This window comes from Homo sapiens, chromosome 19, assembly GCF_000001405.40.
Source record: "Homo sapiens chromosome 19, GRCh38.p14 Primary Assembly".
Classification (NCBI taxonomy): Eukaryota; Metazoa; Chordata; class Mammalia; order Primates; family Hominidae; genus Homo; species Homo sapiens.
The window spans coordinates 9,205,409-9,221,957 of record NC_000019.10 but is presented as its reverse complement, the minus strand read 5'-3'; the positions used below and the strand labels follow the sequence as shown (position 1 = coordinate 9,221,957).

Genomic DNA, 16,549 nt, shown 5'->3' with positions numbered 1-16,549 from the left:
GTAAAACCTAAAATAGAAAAGCTAGAAAATAACAAAAGAGGAAAACCTCATGATAGTGGTCTGAGCAGTGATTTTTTTGGATATGACCTCTGAAGCACAGACAACAAAAGCAATAGACAAATGGAATTACATTAAACTAAAAATCTCCACACAGCAAAGGAAACAGTAGAGTGAAGAGACAAACTACAGAATGGAGGAAAATATTTGCAAACTAGACATGTGATATGGGGCTAATATCCAAAATACGTAAGAAGCTCAAACAACTCAGTAGGAAGAAAACGACCCAATTTTAAAATGGGCAAAAGACAGCCTGGCGCGGTGGCTCACGCCTGTAATCCCAGCACTTTGAGAGGCAGAGGAGAGCGGATCACGGGGTCAGGAGATCGAGACCACCCTGGCTAACACGGTGATAACCCCGTCTCTACTAAAAATACAAAAAAGTAGCCGGGCGTCGTGGCAGGCGCCTGTAATCCCAGCTACTCGGGAGGCTGAGGCAGGAGAATGGCGTAAACCCGGGAGGCGGAGCTTGCAGCGAGCGGAGATCGCGCCACTGCATTCCAGCCTGGGTGACAGAGCGAGACTCCGTCTCAAAAAAAAAAAAAAAAAAAAAAAAAAAAGGGCAAAAGACCTGAAAGACATTTGTCAAAAGAAGACACACAGATGGACAACATACATTTTTTTTTTCTTGAGACGAGTCTCGCTCTGTCACCCAGGCTGGAGTGCAGTGGCGCGATCTCGGCTCACTGCAAGCTCCCCCTCCCGGGTTGAAGTCATTCTCCTGCCTCAGCCTCCCAAGTAGCTGGGACTACAGGCGCCCGCCACCACGCCCGGCTAATTTTTTGTATTTTTAGTAGGGACGGGGTTTCACCTTTAGCCAGGATGGTCTCGATCGCCTGACCCTGTGATCCGCCCGTCTAGGCCTCCCAAAGTGCTGGGATTACAGGCGTGAGCCACTGCGCCCGGCCCAACATACATTTTTAAAAGGTTTAACTTCACTAATCATCAGGGAAATGCAAATGAAAACCACAATGAGATATCACCTCACTTCATCTCAAATGGCTATTACTAAAAAGACAAAAGATAGTAAGTGCTGGCCAGGATATGAAGAAATGGAAACCCTTCTACACTGTTGGTAGGAATGTAAATTAGTACAACCATTATGGAAAAGAGTATGGAGGTTCCTCAAAAACTTAAAAATAGAACTACCATATGATCCAGCAGTCCACTACTGGGTATATATCAATAAGAAACGAAGTCAGTGTGTGGAAGGGATATCGCACTCCCATGTTTATTGGAGCATTATTCACAGTAGCCAAGACACAGAATCAACCTAGTTGTCTGCAAATAAATGAATGGATAAAGAAAATGTAGTATATATACACAATGGAATATGATTCATCCATAAAACACAAGGAAATCCTGTCATTTGCAACATGGATGAACTCAGAGAACATTGTGTTAAGTGAAATAAGGGAGGCACAGAAAGACAAATATCACATGATCTCACTCATATGTGGAATCTAACGAAGGTGATCTCAGAGAAATAGAATCCAGATTTCAAAGAAGTAGAATGTTGGTTACCAGACCCAGAGTGGTTTGGGGTTGAGGAGTAGTGTTGGTGTTGTGGAGATGTTAGTAAAAGAATACAAAATTACAGCTATATAAGAGAAGTAAGTTCAAGAGATCTATTGTACAGCAGGATGACTTTAGTTAATGATGATATATATGATATTCTTTGAAAATGCTAAGAGAGTGGATATTAAGTGTTCTCACCAGGATAACGACTCTGTGAGATAATGCGTATGTTAATTAGATACATTGAATGTCCACAATGTATATATATTTCCAAATATCAAGTTGTACATGATACATACATATAATTCTATAATTTAAAAAAATATATAAAAATAATTTGAAAAAATATTTAAAAAGAAAAGACATTTTTGTTTCCATGAATTTTCAACACCGAGGGATCCATAAAATCTCCAAAGACTCTTCAAGGGAGTCACATCGCTTGGAGATGATTCCTGAGTTTAGTTCCTTGCAGAAATTAATCTTTCCTTAGGGCAAAACTTGTGACTTTCAAATTAAACCGAAGAAAGAATTTCTTCTTGGGGGAAATAAATCCATCATGCCCTACCACTGCCTATTTCATCACAAAATTAACTGAAAAATTTCCATTCTATCATCTTCTTACTACTCAAAGGGAGCCAAACTCTTTGGAGAGTGGGAAGAAAATAGAACAATTTATTTAATAAGGTGCTCTGAGAATTCAACTCTTGAGACACTGGAAACTTAAAATGTGCCCCTGTTTAAACAACCTCACCTGTAATTCTCTGCTCCCAGCCTTTGGAAAAAACCCAGTACGGCTTCCTAGGAACAGATCGTGTAGAAGAGAAAACTTCAGTGATAACCATCAGAGTTAGTGTGACCCAGTGAGGGCTGGTGGGGTAAGAAGGAAAAGAGGAGAGAGAATAAGTACTAGCCTTCACAGTAATGAGCCTGGAAAGTCCCATACTTATTGAGTCTATGAAGGTGAAGTCCCTGTACTTTGATGGTACTTTAGTTTTCACAGAAACCAGTGTCTCCCACCTTCTGTTCTCACTCCTTGGAATCCAGGGCCCGTCTTTAATAAGTTATTTTCCGAACAGTCTCTAACTCTCCTGCACTCTTTCCTATAAACTTTAGTCTCCTGTTGAATTTCGTACATCCAGTTACTTATTCATTAACTACTCACGGAAGATCTACTATGCTCAAGGTATTGTCTATGTGTTCCTAATGTGATTGGATTTTTCTATTATATTCTATATTTTTCCTGGCAGATTATTGGTTACCAGACCCAGAGTGGTCTGGGGATTGGGGGTAGGGTTGATGTGGTGGAGATGGTGACTTATTTACAGCACTTACTAGCTGTTATGTTTTTGCTATTTCAACTTAGTATCCATGATATCATATAGAAATAATACAATTATTTCTGACATTCAACATGCAGTCCAATTTTTTTTCTCATATTAAAAATCCCTTGGCTGAACGTAGTGGCTCACATCTATAATCCCAGCACTTTGGGAGGCCGAGGCGGGCAGATCACTTGAGGCCAGGACCCTGAGACCAGCCTGGCTAACATGGCAAAACCCTGTCTCTACTAAACAATAACAAAAAAAGAAAGCCTGACACCTTAGCTTACACCTGCAATCCCAGTTACTCGGGAGACTGAGATGGGATAATTGCTTGAACCCAGGAGGCAGAGGTTGCAGTAAGCTGAGACTGCACCCCGCACTCCAGCCCAGGTGACAAAGTGACACCATGTCCCCCCCAAAAAAAAATCCATTTGCATGTTCACCAAAATATCAAAAGATTGAAATTGTAGTAGACGGCCTTTGGTGTATCCAGGAATTTAAACCCCTTACTGTTTTAACATAGCATATCTTGTTGCCTGTGGTATTAAAACAACCATTGTTTATCGGGTTAAGCAATTGTCCTTGGTTTCTTCCTTTATTGAGAGGATCTGCCCTGGTTGATAATCTTTTTCAAATGCATTTTTTCTATTGTGATTTTGTTTATGATTTCTCTTTACTGACCTGTTTTTGTGATGAATTATGCAGACATTCTTACATTAAACCTGCTTCCATTGTTAGAGCTGGTATTACTACTTCATTTATCATTATTTTAAAAGAGATATGAATATGTTATTTACTGTATTATTAAATTTATGTCTATATTCAAACATGTCTTAAACTTGAAGATTTCTATTTTGTGTTATAGTTGATGCTTTGGTCCCAGTCTTTATAGAACATTTCAATTTGTACTTGCTCAGAATCAGTAATGTGCTGGGCACCACGTAAATCCTTGTTAAATGATGAGACAAAACAATCGCAACCACTGTCTAAAACTAAATATAAGTTGACCAATGTGAAAGGGACAAGGAGGAAGAATATAGGATGTTCTATTTCTAGTCATCAAATACATATCCCGCTTTCATTCCCTGCTCCCCATCTCACTGGCATCTCAAATCCCTTCCTTTACAAGCTCAATGACCCATGGGACAATCTCGAATTCTCTTCTGTCAGCCTAGAAGATTTACCCTTTCCTTTCCTTACTTCCCCTAATTAACAATGATCCGGCCAGGTGCAGTAGCTCATGTCTGTAATCCCAGCATTTTGGGAGGCCGAGGTGGGCAGATCACTTGAGGTCAGTAGTTCGAGACCAGCCTGGCTAACAAGGTGAAACCCTGTCTCTACTAAAAATAAAAAAATTAGCTGAGCGTAGTGGCACACACCTGTAATCCCAGCTACTCAGGAGGCTGAGACAGGAGAATCGCTTGAACCTGGGAGGCAGAGGTTGCAGTGAACAGAGATAGCACCACTATACTCCAGCCTGGGCAACAGATCGAGATTCCATCTCCAAACAAACAAACAAACAAACCAATGATCCATTCTTCCTCTCTCAGCCCAAATTTTCCTATCTCAGAGAAGCCTCTTCTATCCACTTTCCAGGACTAAAGTTGGTCTTCAGTGATTATTTTTCCATCTTTAATTAATCAACATTCTCTAGGCATAAATAGTAACAACCTTTTTTCCATCATGAAAAATGCAAATTTTTTTTCAAACCTCAAAGTTGCCCTTTAGTTTTTTAGGATGATTTGATTTATAGAAATTTTTAAATTTTTATATCAAACTTATCAGTCACATTTCTTGGCAATTCATTGCCCTGATATTAGTCCAACATTCCCACTCAACTGCATGTGTACACAAGCACACATTCTCTCAGGCCTTGTCTTTGATTCTAATGGCGGTGTCCCTTTCTTTTCTCATCTTGTGTATGTAGTCCACAGGCTTTTGTTACTTCTTGGAGGAATACACTGGGCAGACATTCTCTGAAGCAGGGAAGCATAGGGATCTTCATGAGTTGAGAGTCCTGTGTGGTGGTCACAAGACGTAACAGACCTGTTGTATTCACAGTGATCAGAATTCCATCCTTGATGGCTGCCCCATGTAAGGGGGATATTGATATTGATAAATGATAGCCATGAAAGACAGATTTATTGTAATGTTAAAAACAAAAGTTCAGGCTGGGCACAGTGGCTCATGCCTGTAATCTCAGCACATTGGGAGGCCAAGGTGGGTGGATCACTTGAGCCCAGGAGTTCAAAACCAACCTGGCCAACATGGTGAAACCCCATCTCTACTAAAAATAGAAAAATTAGCTGGGCATGGTGGTGCATGCCTGTGGTCCCAGCTACTTGGGAGGCTGAGGCACAAGAATCACTTGAACCCAGGAGGCAGAGGTTGCAGTGAGCCAACATTGCACCACTGCACTCCAGCCTGGTCAACAGAGTGAGACTCTGTCTCAAAAAAAAAAGCAAAAGAACAAAAGTTCATATGTGTGAAATATCCATTGTATGACACAGAAATCATAGTAGACAAATGACATGGATAATCTCATTTAATTTCACTCTTCAATATTCCCACATAGGGAGTATTTACTACTCCTACTATGGAGGTGAGGTAGCTGCAGCTAAGACAGTTCAAATAACTTTCTCTATGGTATACAGTAGTAAGTTGGTGGATTCACATAGTTTGGCTGTGTCCCTACACAGTGAACCAGAGGCAGGTCACAGAAGAAATGTGGAATTTCAGTGCCTATAGAGAAGGTCAACCTCTTCATCAGAAGAACATGAACCAGGGAGACCCAGAAAATGATAAATCAAGATGCCAGAACAAGGAGGCCACAGAGGCAGGAGTTCATGATGACTGTGGGGTGCAGGGGGTGGCAGATCTCATCTTGAATTCCCATGTGTAATGGGAGGGACCCAGTGGGAGGAAATTGAATCATGGAGACAGGTCTTTCCCATGCTGTTCTTGAGATAGTGAGTAAGTCTCATGAGATCTTATGGTTCTATAAGGGGGAGTTTCCTTGCACAAGCTTTCTCTCTTTGCCTGCCACCATCCATGTAAGATGTGACTTGCTCCTCCTTGCCTTCCACCGTGATTATAAGGCTTCCCCAGCCACGTGGAACTGTAAGTCCATTAAACATCTTTCTGTTGTAAATTGCCCAGTCTCAGGTATGTCTTTATCAGCAGAGTGAAAACAGACTAATGCATGGATCAGAATTTTATTCTAAAAAGTCTGATTTCAGAAAATATTTTCCAAATCACAGCTCTATGCTATACCTTGGAAGAGTTATATATCTAAGTAATTATCATAAAAGGAAAAGATTAATAAGATTAATAGTAATAGTAGCAGTAATGATAGCTATCATTTGTTGATATTCCTACCGTGCATATGGCATTTTTAAACCTCAATAAGAAAGTAATATCAATAATTTAATTTTAAGGAAGGAAGAAAGCCCTGAGAGTTAACTGTCACATCACTTCCAAGCACTGGGTCACAGAATAAAGGTTGTTTGGGTTGAAAATCCACAACTTAATAACTATTGTACATCTATTAGAATGAAGGAAGCATGGGGATTATCGAGGAAAAGACATGACATACCTTTAATTATTTTGGAAGATTCACACCAAAGAAGAAATTGATTTAAGTTCATAGATACAAATGGGGGAATTAAAACTGGTGAGTAAATGAAAAAAAGAGGTTTTTTTTTTTTTTTTTTTTTTTTGAGACGGAGTCTCACTTTGTCACCAGGCTGGAGTGCAGTGCCATGATCTTGGCTCACTGCAACCTCCGCCTCCTGGGTTCAAGCGATTCTCCTGCCTCAGCCTCCTTAGTAACTGGGATTACAGGTGCACTCCACAACGCCCAGCTGATTTTTGTATTTTTAGTAGAGACAGGGTTTCACCATATTGGCCAGGATGGTCTCAATCTCTTGACCTCGTGATCTGCCCACCTTGTCCTCCCAAAGTGCTGGGATTACAGGCGTGAGCCACCATGCCCGGCCAAAGAGAGAGATTTCTAAAAATTAAAGAATGGCTGGATAACTCTACACAAATAGAATAAAAATAGATACCACTTCCTGAGAGATTCATTGTCTTTGTAAGGACTCCAGGAAGGGTGACAAATGTCCATCAAAAGGTGATATTGTAAAGTGATGACAAGCTGAGCTGCCACTTGCTGTTCATTAAACGTTGCTTTTTCCTCCTTCCCCAGCAGACACAACAGCTACATGGAAGCAGAAAACCTTACAGAATTATCAAAATTTCTCCTCCTGGGACTCTCAGATGATCCTGAACTGCAGCCCGTCCTCTTTGGGCTGTTCCTGTCCATGTACCTGGTCACGGTGCTGGGGAACCTGCTCATCATTCTGGCCGTCAGCTCTGACTCCCACCTCCACACCCCCATGTACTTCTTCCTCTCCAACCTGTCCTTTGTTGACATCTGTTTCATCTCCACCACAGTCCCCAAGATGCTAGTGAGCATCCAGGCACGGAGCAAAGACATCTCCTACATGGGGTGCCTCACTCAGGTGTATTTTTTAATGATGTTTGCTGGAATGGATACTTTCCTACTGGCCGTGATGGCCTATGACCGGTTTGTGGCCATCTGCCACCCACTGCACTACACGGTCATCATGAACCCCTGCCTCTGTGGCCTCCTGGTTCTGGCATCTTGGTTCATCATTTTCTGGTTCTCCCTGGTTCATATTCTACTGATGAAGAGGTTGACCTTCTCCACAGGCACTGAGATTCCGCATTTCTTCTGTGAACCGGCTCAGGTCCTCAAGGTGGCCTGCTCTAACACCCTCCTCAATAACATTGTCTTGTATGTGGCCACGGCACTGCTGGGTGTGTTTCCTGTAGCTGGGATCCTCTTCTCCTACTCTCAGATTGTCTCCTCCTTAATGGGAATGTCCTCCACCAAGGGCAAGTACAAAGCCTTTTCCACCTGTGGATCTCACCTCTGTGTGGTCTCCTTGTTCTATGGAACAGGACTTGGGGTCTATCTGAGTTCTGCTGTGACCCATTCTTCCCAGAGCAGCTCCACCGCCTCAGTGATGTACGCCATGGTCACCCCCATGCTGAACCCCTTCATCTACAGCCTGAGGAACAAGGATGTGAAGGGGGCCCTGGAAAGACTCCTCAGCAGGGCCGACTCTTGTCCATGACAAATCAGGGCCTCAGAACTAAGAGGACACACTGCGTACCCCTAAGGCAAATGTTGTGGGTTTAAATATCCGGCTCTTTTTCTCTTTTAAAAAATGTGCTTGATGTGGGATTTTTGGTTGTTGTTATTGGGTTGTTTGTTGTTGTTATTGTTATTGTTTTTGAGACAGAGTCTGGCTCTGTCGCCCAGGCTAGAGTGCAGTGGTGCAATCTTGGCTCACTGCAACCTCTACCTCCCAGGTTGAAGCGGTTCTCCTGCCTCAGCCTCTCAAGTAGCTGAGATTACAGGTGTGTGCCACCACAGCCAGCTAATTTTTGTATTTTTAGTAGAGACAGGGTTCCACCATACTGTTCAGGCTGGTCTGGAACTCCTGACCTCATGATCTGCCTGCCTCAGCCTCCCAAAGTGCTAGGATTACAAGCGTGAGCCACCGTGCCTGGCCAATGTGTTTCTTTCTTTTCTTTTTTTTTTTAATCAAAAACAACTATGATTTTGCTTTTGTTTTTGTGTTAGTTTCTCCTAAAAACTCCCTCTGTAAGCCCTTTTTGACTTTTCTTCCCTAGATGTTTCCCATAAAGTTCCATCTTTGATCAGTTTTCTTACCACTCTTTCTGAGACTTCTAATTTGATGTGTATGGCACTCCCAATATCAAGTGCTGACCTGGTTTCCTCAAAAATTATCCTGTTGAATGTTGATGTTCCTCACCTTAGTATAGTTTTTTCTTGTCCTCTGGATAGGAAATAAAATGAAAACCATAGATTAGTCGTATAAAATGTTTACAATATCAGGACAGTGCTTGTTGCTTTACATGTCTGATGTTATTCAATCCTGAAAACATTTCGTGAGAAATTTTGTCTCATTCACTGCATTTCTCAAAGGAGGAGACTGAGATGGAGGTAGAGTATATCCTAACAATCTGACACTTTGCCCACACTTCTAACTTTGCCATCCTACTTTCCATAAAAACAGTGATATAAAATTTTCGGGGCACAGTGGCTCACACCTGTCTTCCCAGCTACTTGGAGGGCTGAGGCAGGAGAATCACTGGAGCCTAGGAGTTTGAGGCTGTAGTGAGCTGTGATCGTGGCACTGCAATCCAGCCTGGGTGACAGAGCAAGACCCTGTCTCAAACCAAAAACAAACACAAAAGCAAAGAATGATAATGTGATTTTCAACTTCAAATTATGACTCTATATTTGAAAGCTGGTTGGGTCAAATGGTTCCTAGTAATATACTGGCCAGAATGAGTCTGACATGCTATCCCTTTGAAATACAAGCCCTATAAGCCCACAGAAATCAGAGCCGTGGAATCTGGGAGCACAAACCCCTTAGGTGTCTCACTACAGGTGATGTTAGGCAGGGCCAATCTTGTTCCAACTCTTGATTTCCGGGCCATTGTATTCTATATCATAAAGATATTATCATTTTGATGGTATCAAAAGATATTATCATTTTTCACTGATTTGGAATGCATACTAATCCTAATTTGCATCCTGCAAATTTGGTAGCCAGTATTTTCTGTTTATTCAAATACCTGCAATAAATATTTGTCTTTGAAATAAAACTCAGGTGGCAGAGGTTGCAGTGAGCTGAGATTGTGCCACTGCACTCCAGCCTGGGCGACAGAGCAAGACTCTGTCTAAAACATAAAACAAAATAAATAAATAAAACAAAATAACTTAGAAAGTATAATTGCATTGTTTGTAACTCTAAAGATAAATAGTTGAGGGATGAATACCTCATTCTCCACGATGTGGTTATTTCACATTGCATTCCTGTATCAAAACGTTTCATCTACCCCATAAATATATACAGCTACTATCTACGCACAAAAATTAAAAATGTTTTAAAACATTTTTAAAGAAAAATAAAAGTAGAAGAGGAGAAAAGTGAATGACCATTGAAGGAACAGGGCTTCCTCTTCTCATTAAAACCTCTTCTGTCCTCTGAGTTCCCACCACCAAGTTTCAGAGACAGTGACAAACCACATCAGATTTTTTTTTAATTTTAAAATGAAATGGGAGTCATATCTGCAAATCCATTGAATGAACCATGTAAATAAAGAAGAAGCAGGCCTTCCATGAGAAGAATATGTTGCACCTTTTTTTTTTTTTTTTTTTTTTTGAGATGGAGTCTTGCTCTGTCGCCCAGGCTAGAGCACAGTGGCGCTGGGATTACAGGCGCACGCCACCATGCCCGGCTAATCTTTTGTATTTTTAGTAGAGATGGGGTTTCACCATGCTGGCCAGGCTGGTCTCAAACTCCTGACCTCGTGATCCACCCGCCTCGGCCTCCCAAAGTGCTGGGATTACAGGCATGACCCACCACACCCAGCCACTACTTTCATTCTTGAAGTTCAGATTTATGTTTCTAAGGAGGACTTTCTATTTTACTTTCTATACTCCTTGCCTGTAATTTGAGATTTTATGCATTGGTAATTTATGTTTTTGCTAAGTTGGATAAGACCCTAATTCTTTCTGTCTGATTGATCTATGTTGGCATGTTAGAAACTGCTGATCTTTGCAGCCTAACTTGGTAACTTTATATATTGCTTAAGCATTTCCCCATATCTAACAAGACTGCAATCAGATGTCAGCCAGGGTTGCAGTCATCTCGTGGACTGACTGGAGAGGATCTGCTGTGAAGCTCACTCACATGGCTGTTTGTAGGGTTTAGGTTCTTGCAGGACAATGGCCTAAGGCCCCTCAGTTTGTTGCCACAAGGGACTCTCATGGGGCAGCTCACATATGCCAGCTGAGTTCTGTCAGTGCAGGGAAGCAAGGGACAGAGCAACAGAGGCCAGGCCTATCCTTCTACCAGGACATGGGTCTCTAAGCACCCAAGACCATGGAGATTTCCCTCTGCCTTCCGGTAGAGTTCCTCACCATTCAAGACATTGTACTGTCAGAAAAATTCCATGCTGTAGAACTGGCACATGGACATGTCGCCCTTTCCTCTGCACTGGATATTTCTACAGACTTAACAATGTTCTCCTGGACCTTCAGACAAAATAAGCCACCCTGGTTCTCCTTCGCCACAAGCTCTCAGCCCAACATCACAATAAGCTGCTGCAATTCTGCACCTAAATTCAGCAAGTGTTCCCAGCAGCTTCTGATTGTTGCTCATCAAGAAAGAGCTCATCTCACTTCAGGCGGAGAACTCCCTAGTGTAGACTCTGTGTTGTGTGTGTTGTGTGTGTGTGTGTGTGTGTGAGATCACCTAGTAAATTCTTTAATGAAATGTACTTTCTTTTGGCCTGTCTTTATTCAAGTAGATAAAATAGGTTGTATGGAAGTTATGGAGTTTTTGTTTTGTTTTGTTTTGAGATGTCTTGCTCTGTTGCCCAAGCTGCAGTGAAGCGGCTCAGTCATAGCTCACTGCAGCCTTGAATTCCTGGCCTCAAGTAATCCTCCTGCGCCACCATGTCCAGGTAATTTATTTTATTTTATTTTTTTGTAGAGATGGAGTCTTGCTATGTTGCCCAGGCTGGTCTTGAACTTCTGGTCTCAAGTGACCCTCCTGCTTCAGCCTCCCAAAGTGGTGAGATTGTAGGTACAGACCACCATGCCCAGCCAGATATTATGGTTCTTTATAAACTTTCACATTCCACCCATGGCTCAGAGGTGAGGTACTCAACAATATTTGTCAATGACTGATATAATAAATGTAAATATATATTCCAACAAGTTGAATGTGGAAGAAAGGATGCTATTTATCAGTGTATCAATAAATACTGAGGTAAATATGAGGGCACAAATGATAAAATGACAGGAATGTAGAGGTAGATTGGATCGGAAGATGCTGGGAGTTGGGAGCTTTTAAAATGTTTGGGTAGTAGCAAAAATAGTGTTCTAATCAGTACATTTGATATGTCTCCTCAAACAGACTCTTAGTTGTTATCACATCTCTACAGATGAACTTGTTCAATAGAAATATGTTTTGTTTTACCTGGGTGTGGTGGCTCACGCCTGTAATCCCAGCACTTTGGGAGACTGAGGCAGGCGGATCACAAGGTCAAGAGTTCGAGATTAGCCTGACCAATATGATGAAACCCTGTCTCTAATAAAAATGCAAAAATTAGCTGGGCATGGTGGCACACACCTGCAGTCCCAGCTACCCAAGAGGCTGAGGCAGGAGAATTGCTTGAACCCGGGAGGCAGAGGTTGCAGTGAGATGAGATTGTGCCACTGCACTCCAGCCTGGGCAACAGAGCGAGACTCTGTCTTTAAAAAAAAAAAAAAAAAGAAATGTTTTGTTTTATACTCAAGGTCACAGTTTGTAATATCCAGTTACTTGTATATTCTGAGAATACCCATTTAAAATTAACTTCTTTTAAATTTTTTAAAAATGTAGTGACAGGGTCTCACTATGTAGCCAAGTCTGGTCTCAAACACCTGCCTTAAACTTTCCTGCCAAATCAGCCTCCCAAAGTGCTGGGATTACAGGTATGAGCCACCATGCCAGGCCCTAAAATTAACTTCCTCAATGTAATAATAGGGGCTATCATTTCAAGGGAAACTAACATTTGACTGGTTAATGGCACCATGATATAAAATCATTGCATGGCCTTGGAAGAAAAGACTACTGCAATTAATTTGCTGCTGAGGAACATGGGGTTCAGAAAGGACCTCTGAGTTATCAAAAGTCCCACGTTTAAGAGCCCAATATATGAGTGATGAAGGGTCCATAAATCCCACATTTTTTCTACCATCTGTATATTCTATCCCGATTGAAGTTTGTCACATCGCTTTTGGTTGGCTACTGTGAACCATCCAAACAATCCAAACATTTCCCATCACAAGGTATTAATCCATCATAGCACTCTTCTAAATATTAAAATAAAAGTGCCAACAACAAAGCATTACCAGTGGGGAGAGTCCACCATGTGACATCAAAAAGCAGCATTAGGCCAGGCACAGTGCCTCACGCCTGTAGTCCTAGCACTTTGGGAGGCCGAGGTGGGTGGCTCACTTGAGGTCAGGAGTTCGAGACCAGCCTGGACAACATGGCAAAACCCCATCTCTACTAAAAATACAAAAATTAGCTGAGCATGGTGGTGTGTGCCTGTAGTCCCAGCTACTTGGGAGGCTGAGGCAGGAGAATCACTTGAGCCCAGGAGGCGGAGGTTGCAGTGAACCAAGATCATGCCATTGCATTCCAGCCTGGGCAACAGAGCAAGACTCTGTCTCAAAAAAAAAAAAAAAAAAAGGCAGCATTAATGTCCCACTTATCAAATTCTTTGACTATCATTTATGTGAAATAAAGGAGAGTTCATGTTTGCTGGTGACATGGACTTTTGGTAGCTCAGTGTAAAGTAAAAGAAGAAAACCCTGAAATTATTTATGATGAAACTGGTGATTTAACAATCCCTAGACATCACTAGAGTCACACAGCAACCGGAAATAGGGCACTGCCACTTAAACTTCAGTTGGACTCTCTTCACAAAGACATATGTTTTAAAAGCAGCTTTATTTCATCAGCACATTTTTAAAATATTCCCCTTGCAGACAACTCCAACATACTTTTGTTCCTCAGTCAAGGTTAGGTCAGGAATAGAAACCAGGGCTGGGCACGCGGCTCATGCCTGTAATCCCAGCACTTTGGGAGGCCGAGGCAGGTGGATCACCTGAGGTCGGAAGTTCCAGACGAGCCTGGCCAACATGGCAAAACCCCGTCTCCACTAAAATTACAAAAATTAGCTAGGCGTGGTGGGCGGTCCTTGTAATCCTAGCTACGCGGGAGGCTGAGTCAGGAGAATTGCTTGAACCTGGGAGGTGGAGGTTGCAGTGAGTCGGGATCATGCCACCGCACTCCAGCCTGGGTGACAGAGGGAGACTCCATCTCAAAAAAAAAAAAAAATAGAAACTAATCTAGTTATTTTGAATAACTAATCTACTTATTATGAAGAGAATTGAACAGAGGGAGTTGGCTTGATTGTTACTGCAGGACAAAGGCTAAAGGACACAATGTGGTAACAGAGACAGTAACTGAAGGCAGCAGCCTCTAAACACTGAGGCAGGCATAGGGGTATACTAGAAGGTGGTCGCAAAGTATACCGAATTTCAGTGTAGTAAAATTCAGTGTTCATGAAAGTCTGTAACAAGAACACCAGATGGAAAACAGAGCAATAACTTCAAGAGCCCCAACCTAGCATGAAAGAGCTGAGTAGAGAAAGGCGGGAAGGGAACAGAAAGACAATGGCTTAGAAACCAGAATAATGAGAACAATACAAATCTTCTCTCCTAGCTACTTTGAAATATGCAATCAATTACCACTAACTAGAATTCCCCTACTGTATTAGGAAACGCTGGAACTTATTTCTTCTATCTAACTGCATTTTTGTACCCTGTAAACATCTTTTCATGCTCCACTCCTTCCTTCCCTTACCAGCCTCTAGTAATTACCATTCTACCTTGTACCTTCACAAGATTCACTGTTTTAGCTCATAGGTATGAGTGGGAACATGCCATATTTGTCTTTTCATGCCTGGCTTATTTCACTTAAATCCATGTTGCTGCAAATGACTCACTTTCATTTCTTAAAGGCTGAATAGTATAACTTTGTGTACCTACCCCACACTTCATAAAAAAAGAAAGAAAACTAAACAAATTTTTAAAAATCAGTTATAGCATGTGAAGTTTTAGGGATGTTGTTACCATGTTATCCTTTTCTATTTTCCCTTTCAGTACGCACAAGAGTGAAATCCGAAGAAAATCTATACGTATATAAATCAACATTTTCAACAAATTCCAAGTGCTTACTAAAAATTCCCAGCATAATGACAATCTGTATATTGCTGAAGGATAATGAATTTGAAGAAGACAGTTGAAGAAAATTACATTGTCTAGTGCTGCAATCAGCTCTTTAGTAGCTTACCCATTTGAGCTTGATCCCTTGAAGAACTTCATCGTCTGAACTATCACTGGTGCTTTTAAAACCTCTCAGACCCACACAGGTTCAAGTAAATCAAAATCTCTGGGTAAGAGAGCCCAGCCATCATCATTTGTAAGCTCCCCAGGTGAGGTCAATAAAAGCCAAGGTTGAGGGCTCGTGAACAAGTTCGTCACACATAGCCTGCTTAAAGTGATTTTACAGATGTAATATGTAAATAATTTCCACACGAACTGTGAAAATTAACTTAAATTTGAAATACAGTAAGTCCTCAATTAACACCCTCAATATGTTTTTGGAAACTGTGATTTAAGTGAAATGATTTATAATGAAACCGTGTGTTTTTCCTTATCAACAATATAACTAATGGACTTTGAACAAAACAATTTTACTTGAGGACCTGCTGTATATCATTTCCTTAAGGTTGCAGTTTCCAAGATGCTATTGACTTTAAGCAAGGACTTCTTATATATAAAAACAGGGTTGTGATTTCACCTAGATACCAGGGTCATTGCTCGGAAACTAAAGGAGGCTGTCCAGGTATACTGGATTCAGCCACGAATTTTTGCAATAAACAAAGAATTCCAGAATACCTTCACATTCCAATTAAAGACAAAACAATGGAAACAATATTCACATGTAGGGACCAGCCCTACAGGGTCTGTGGGTCTTTCTCCCCGTGTGTGGAGACAAGAGATTGTAGAAATAAAGACACAAGACAAAGAGAAGAAAAGACAGCTGGGCCCGGGGGGACCACCACCACCAAGGCGCGGAGACCGGTAGTGGCCCAAATGCCTGGCTGCACTGTTATTTTTCGGATACAAGACAAGGGGGCAGGGTAAGGAGTGTGAGCCATCTCCAATGATAGGTAAGGTCACACAAGTCACGTGTCCACTGGACAGGGGGCCCTTCCCTGTTTGGCAGCCGAGGCGGAGAGAGAGAGGACAGCTTACACCATTATTTCTGCATTTCGGAGACTTTTAGTACTTTCACTAATTCTGCTACTGCTGTCTAGAAGGCAGAGCCAGTTGTACAGGGTGGAACATAAAAGTGAAACAGGAGCGTGACCGCTGAAGCACAGCATCACAGGGAAACAGGCCTCCGCATAACTGCAGGCAGGCCTGACTGATGTCAGACCCTCCACAAGAGGTGGAGGAGTAGAGTCTTCTCTAAACTCCCCCGGGAAAAGAGAGACTCCTTTTCCCGGTCAGCTGAGTAAGGAGTGCTTTTTCTAGGCACTGACCCTACTGCTAGACCAAGATCCGCAAGGTAACGGGGCTCCTTCCCAGGCACTGGCGTTACCGCTAGACCATGGAGCCCTCTAGTGGCCCTGTCCGGGCATAACAGAGGGCTCACACTTGTCTTCTGGTCAGTTCTCACCATGTCCCTTTAGCTCCTATCTCTGTATGGCCTGGTTTTTCCTAGGTTATGATTGTAGAGTGAAGATTAATATTGGACTAAAGAGTAATTGCTACAAACTAATGATTAATGATGTTCATATATAATCATATCTATGATCTATATCTAGTATAACTATTCTTATTTTATATATTTTCTTTATTATGCTGGAACAGCTCGTGCCCTCGGTCTCTTGCCTCG

General features: G+C 41.9%; 2 protein-coding genes and 1 pseudogene across 5 annotated transcripts in view; 1 reads left to right on the top strand and 2 right to left on the bottom strand.

Moving 5' to 3' along the window:
- OR7E24 (olfactory receptor family 7 subfamily E member 24) overlaps window positions 1-15,470 on the bottom strand; it is a 46,138-nt gene extending 30,668 nt beyond the window's left edge. For 2 of the 4 annotated variants that reach the window (XM_047438597.1, XM_047438594.1), the window contains exons 1-2: window positions 14,936-15,470; window positions 8,765-8,788 (exon numbers count right to left, since the gene is read on the bottom strand). Coding sequence is in view for 1 of the 4 variants with exons in the window: in XM_047438594.1 (XP_047294550.1) it covers window positions 8,765-8,788; window positions 14,936-14,967 (56 nt within the window). In the remaining 3 variants the exon portion in view is untranslated. Of the gene's footprint in view, window positions 1-8,661; window positions 8,789-14,935 lie in introns of those variants that run through there. The other 2 variants (XM_047438596.1, XM_047438598.1) reach the window with 1 other exon arrangement.
- On the top strand, window positions 2,369-11,682 carry OR7D4 (olfactory receptor family 7 subfamily D member 4). Its single transcript, NM_001005191.3, has 2 exons — window positions 2,369-2,758; window positions 7,108-11,682. The coding sequence occupies exon 2, from the start codon at window positions 7,121-7,123 to the stop codon at window positions 8,057-8,059; it is 939 nt and encodes a 312-aa protein (NP_001005191.1). The 5' UTR covers window positions 2,369-2,758; window positions 7,108-7,120; the 3' UTR covers window positions 8,060-11,682.
- Window positions 5,569-5,770, bottom strand: OR7D11P (olfactory receptor family 7 subfamily D member 11 pseudogene; annotated as a pseudogene).
- Window positions 15,471-16,549: the final 1,079 nt, after the last annotated feature.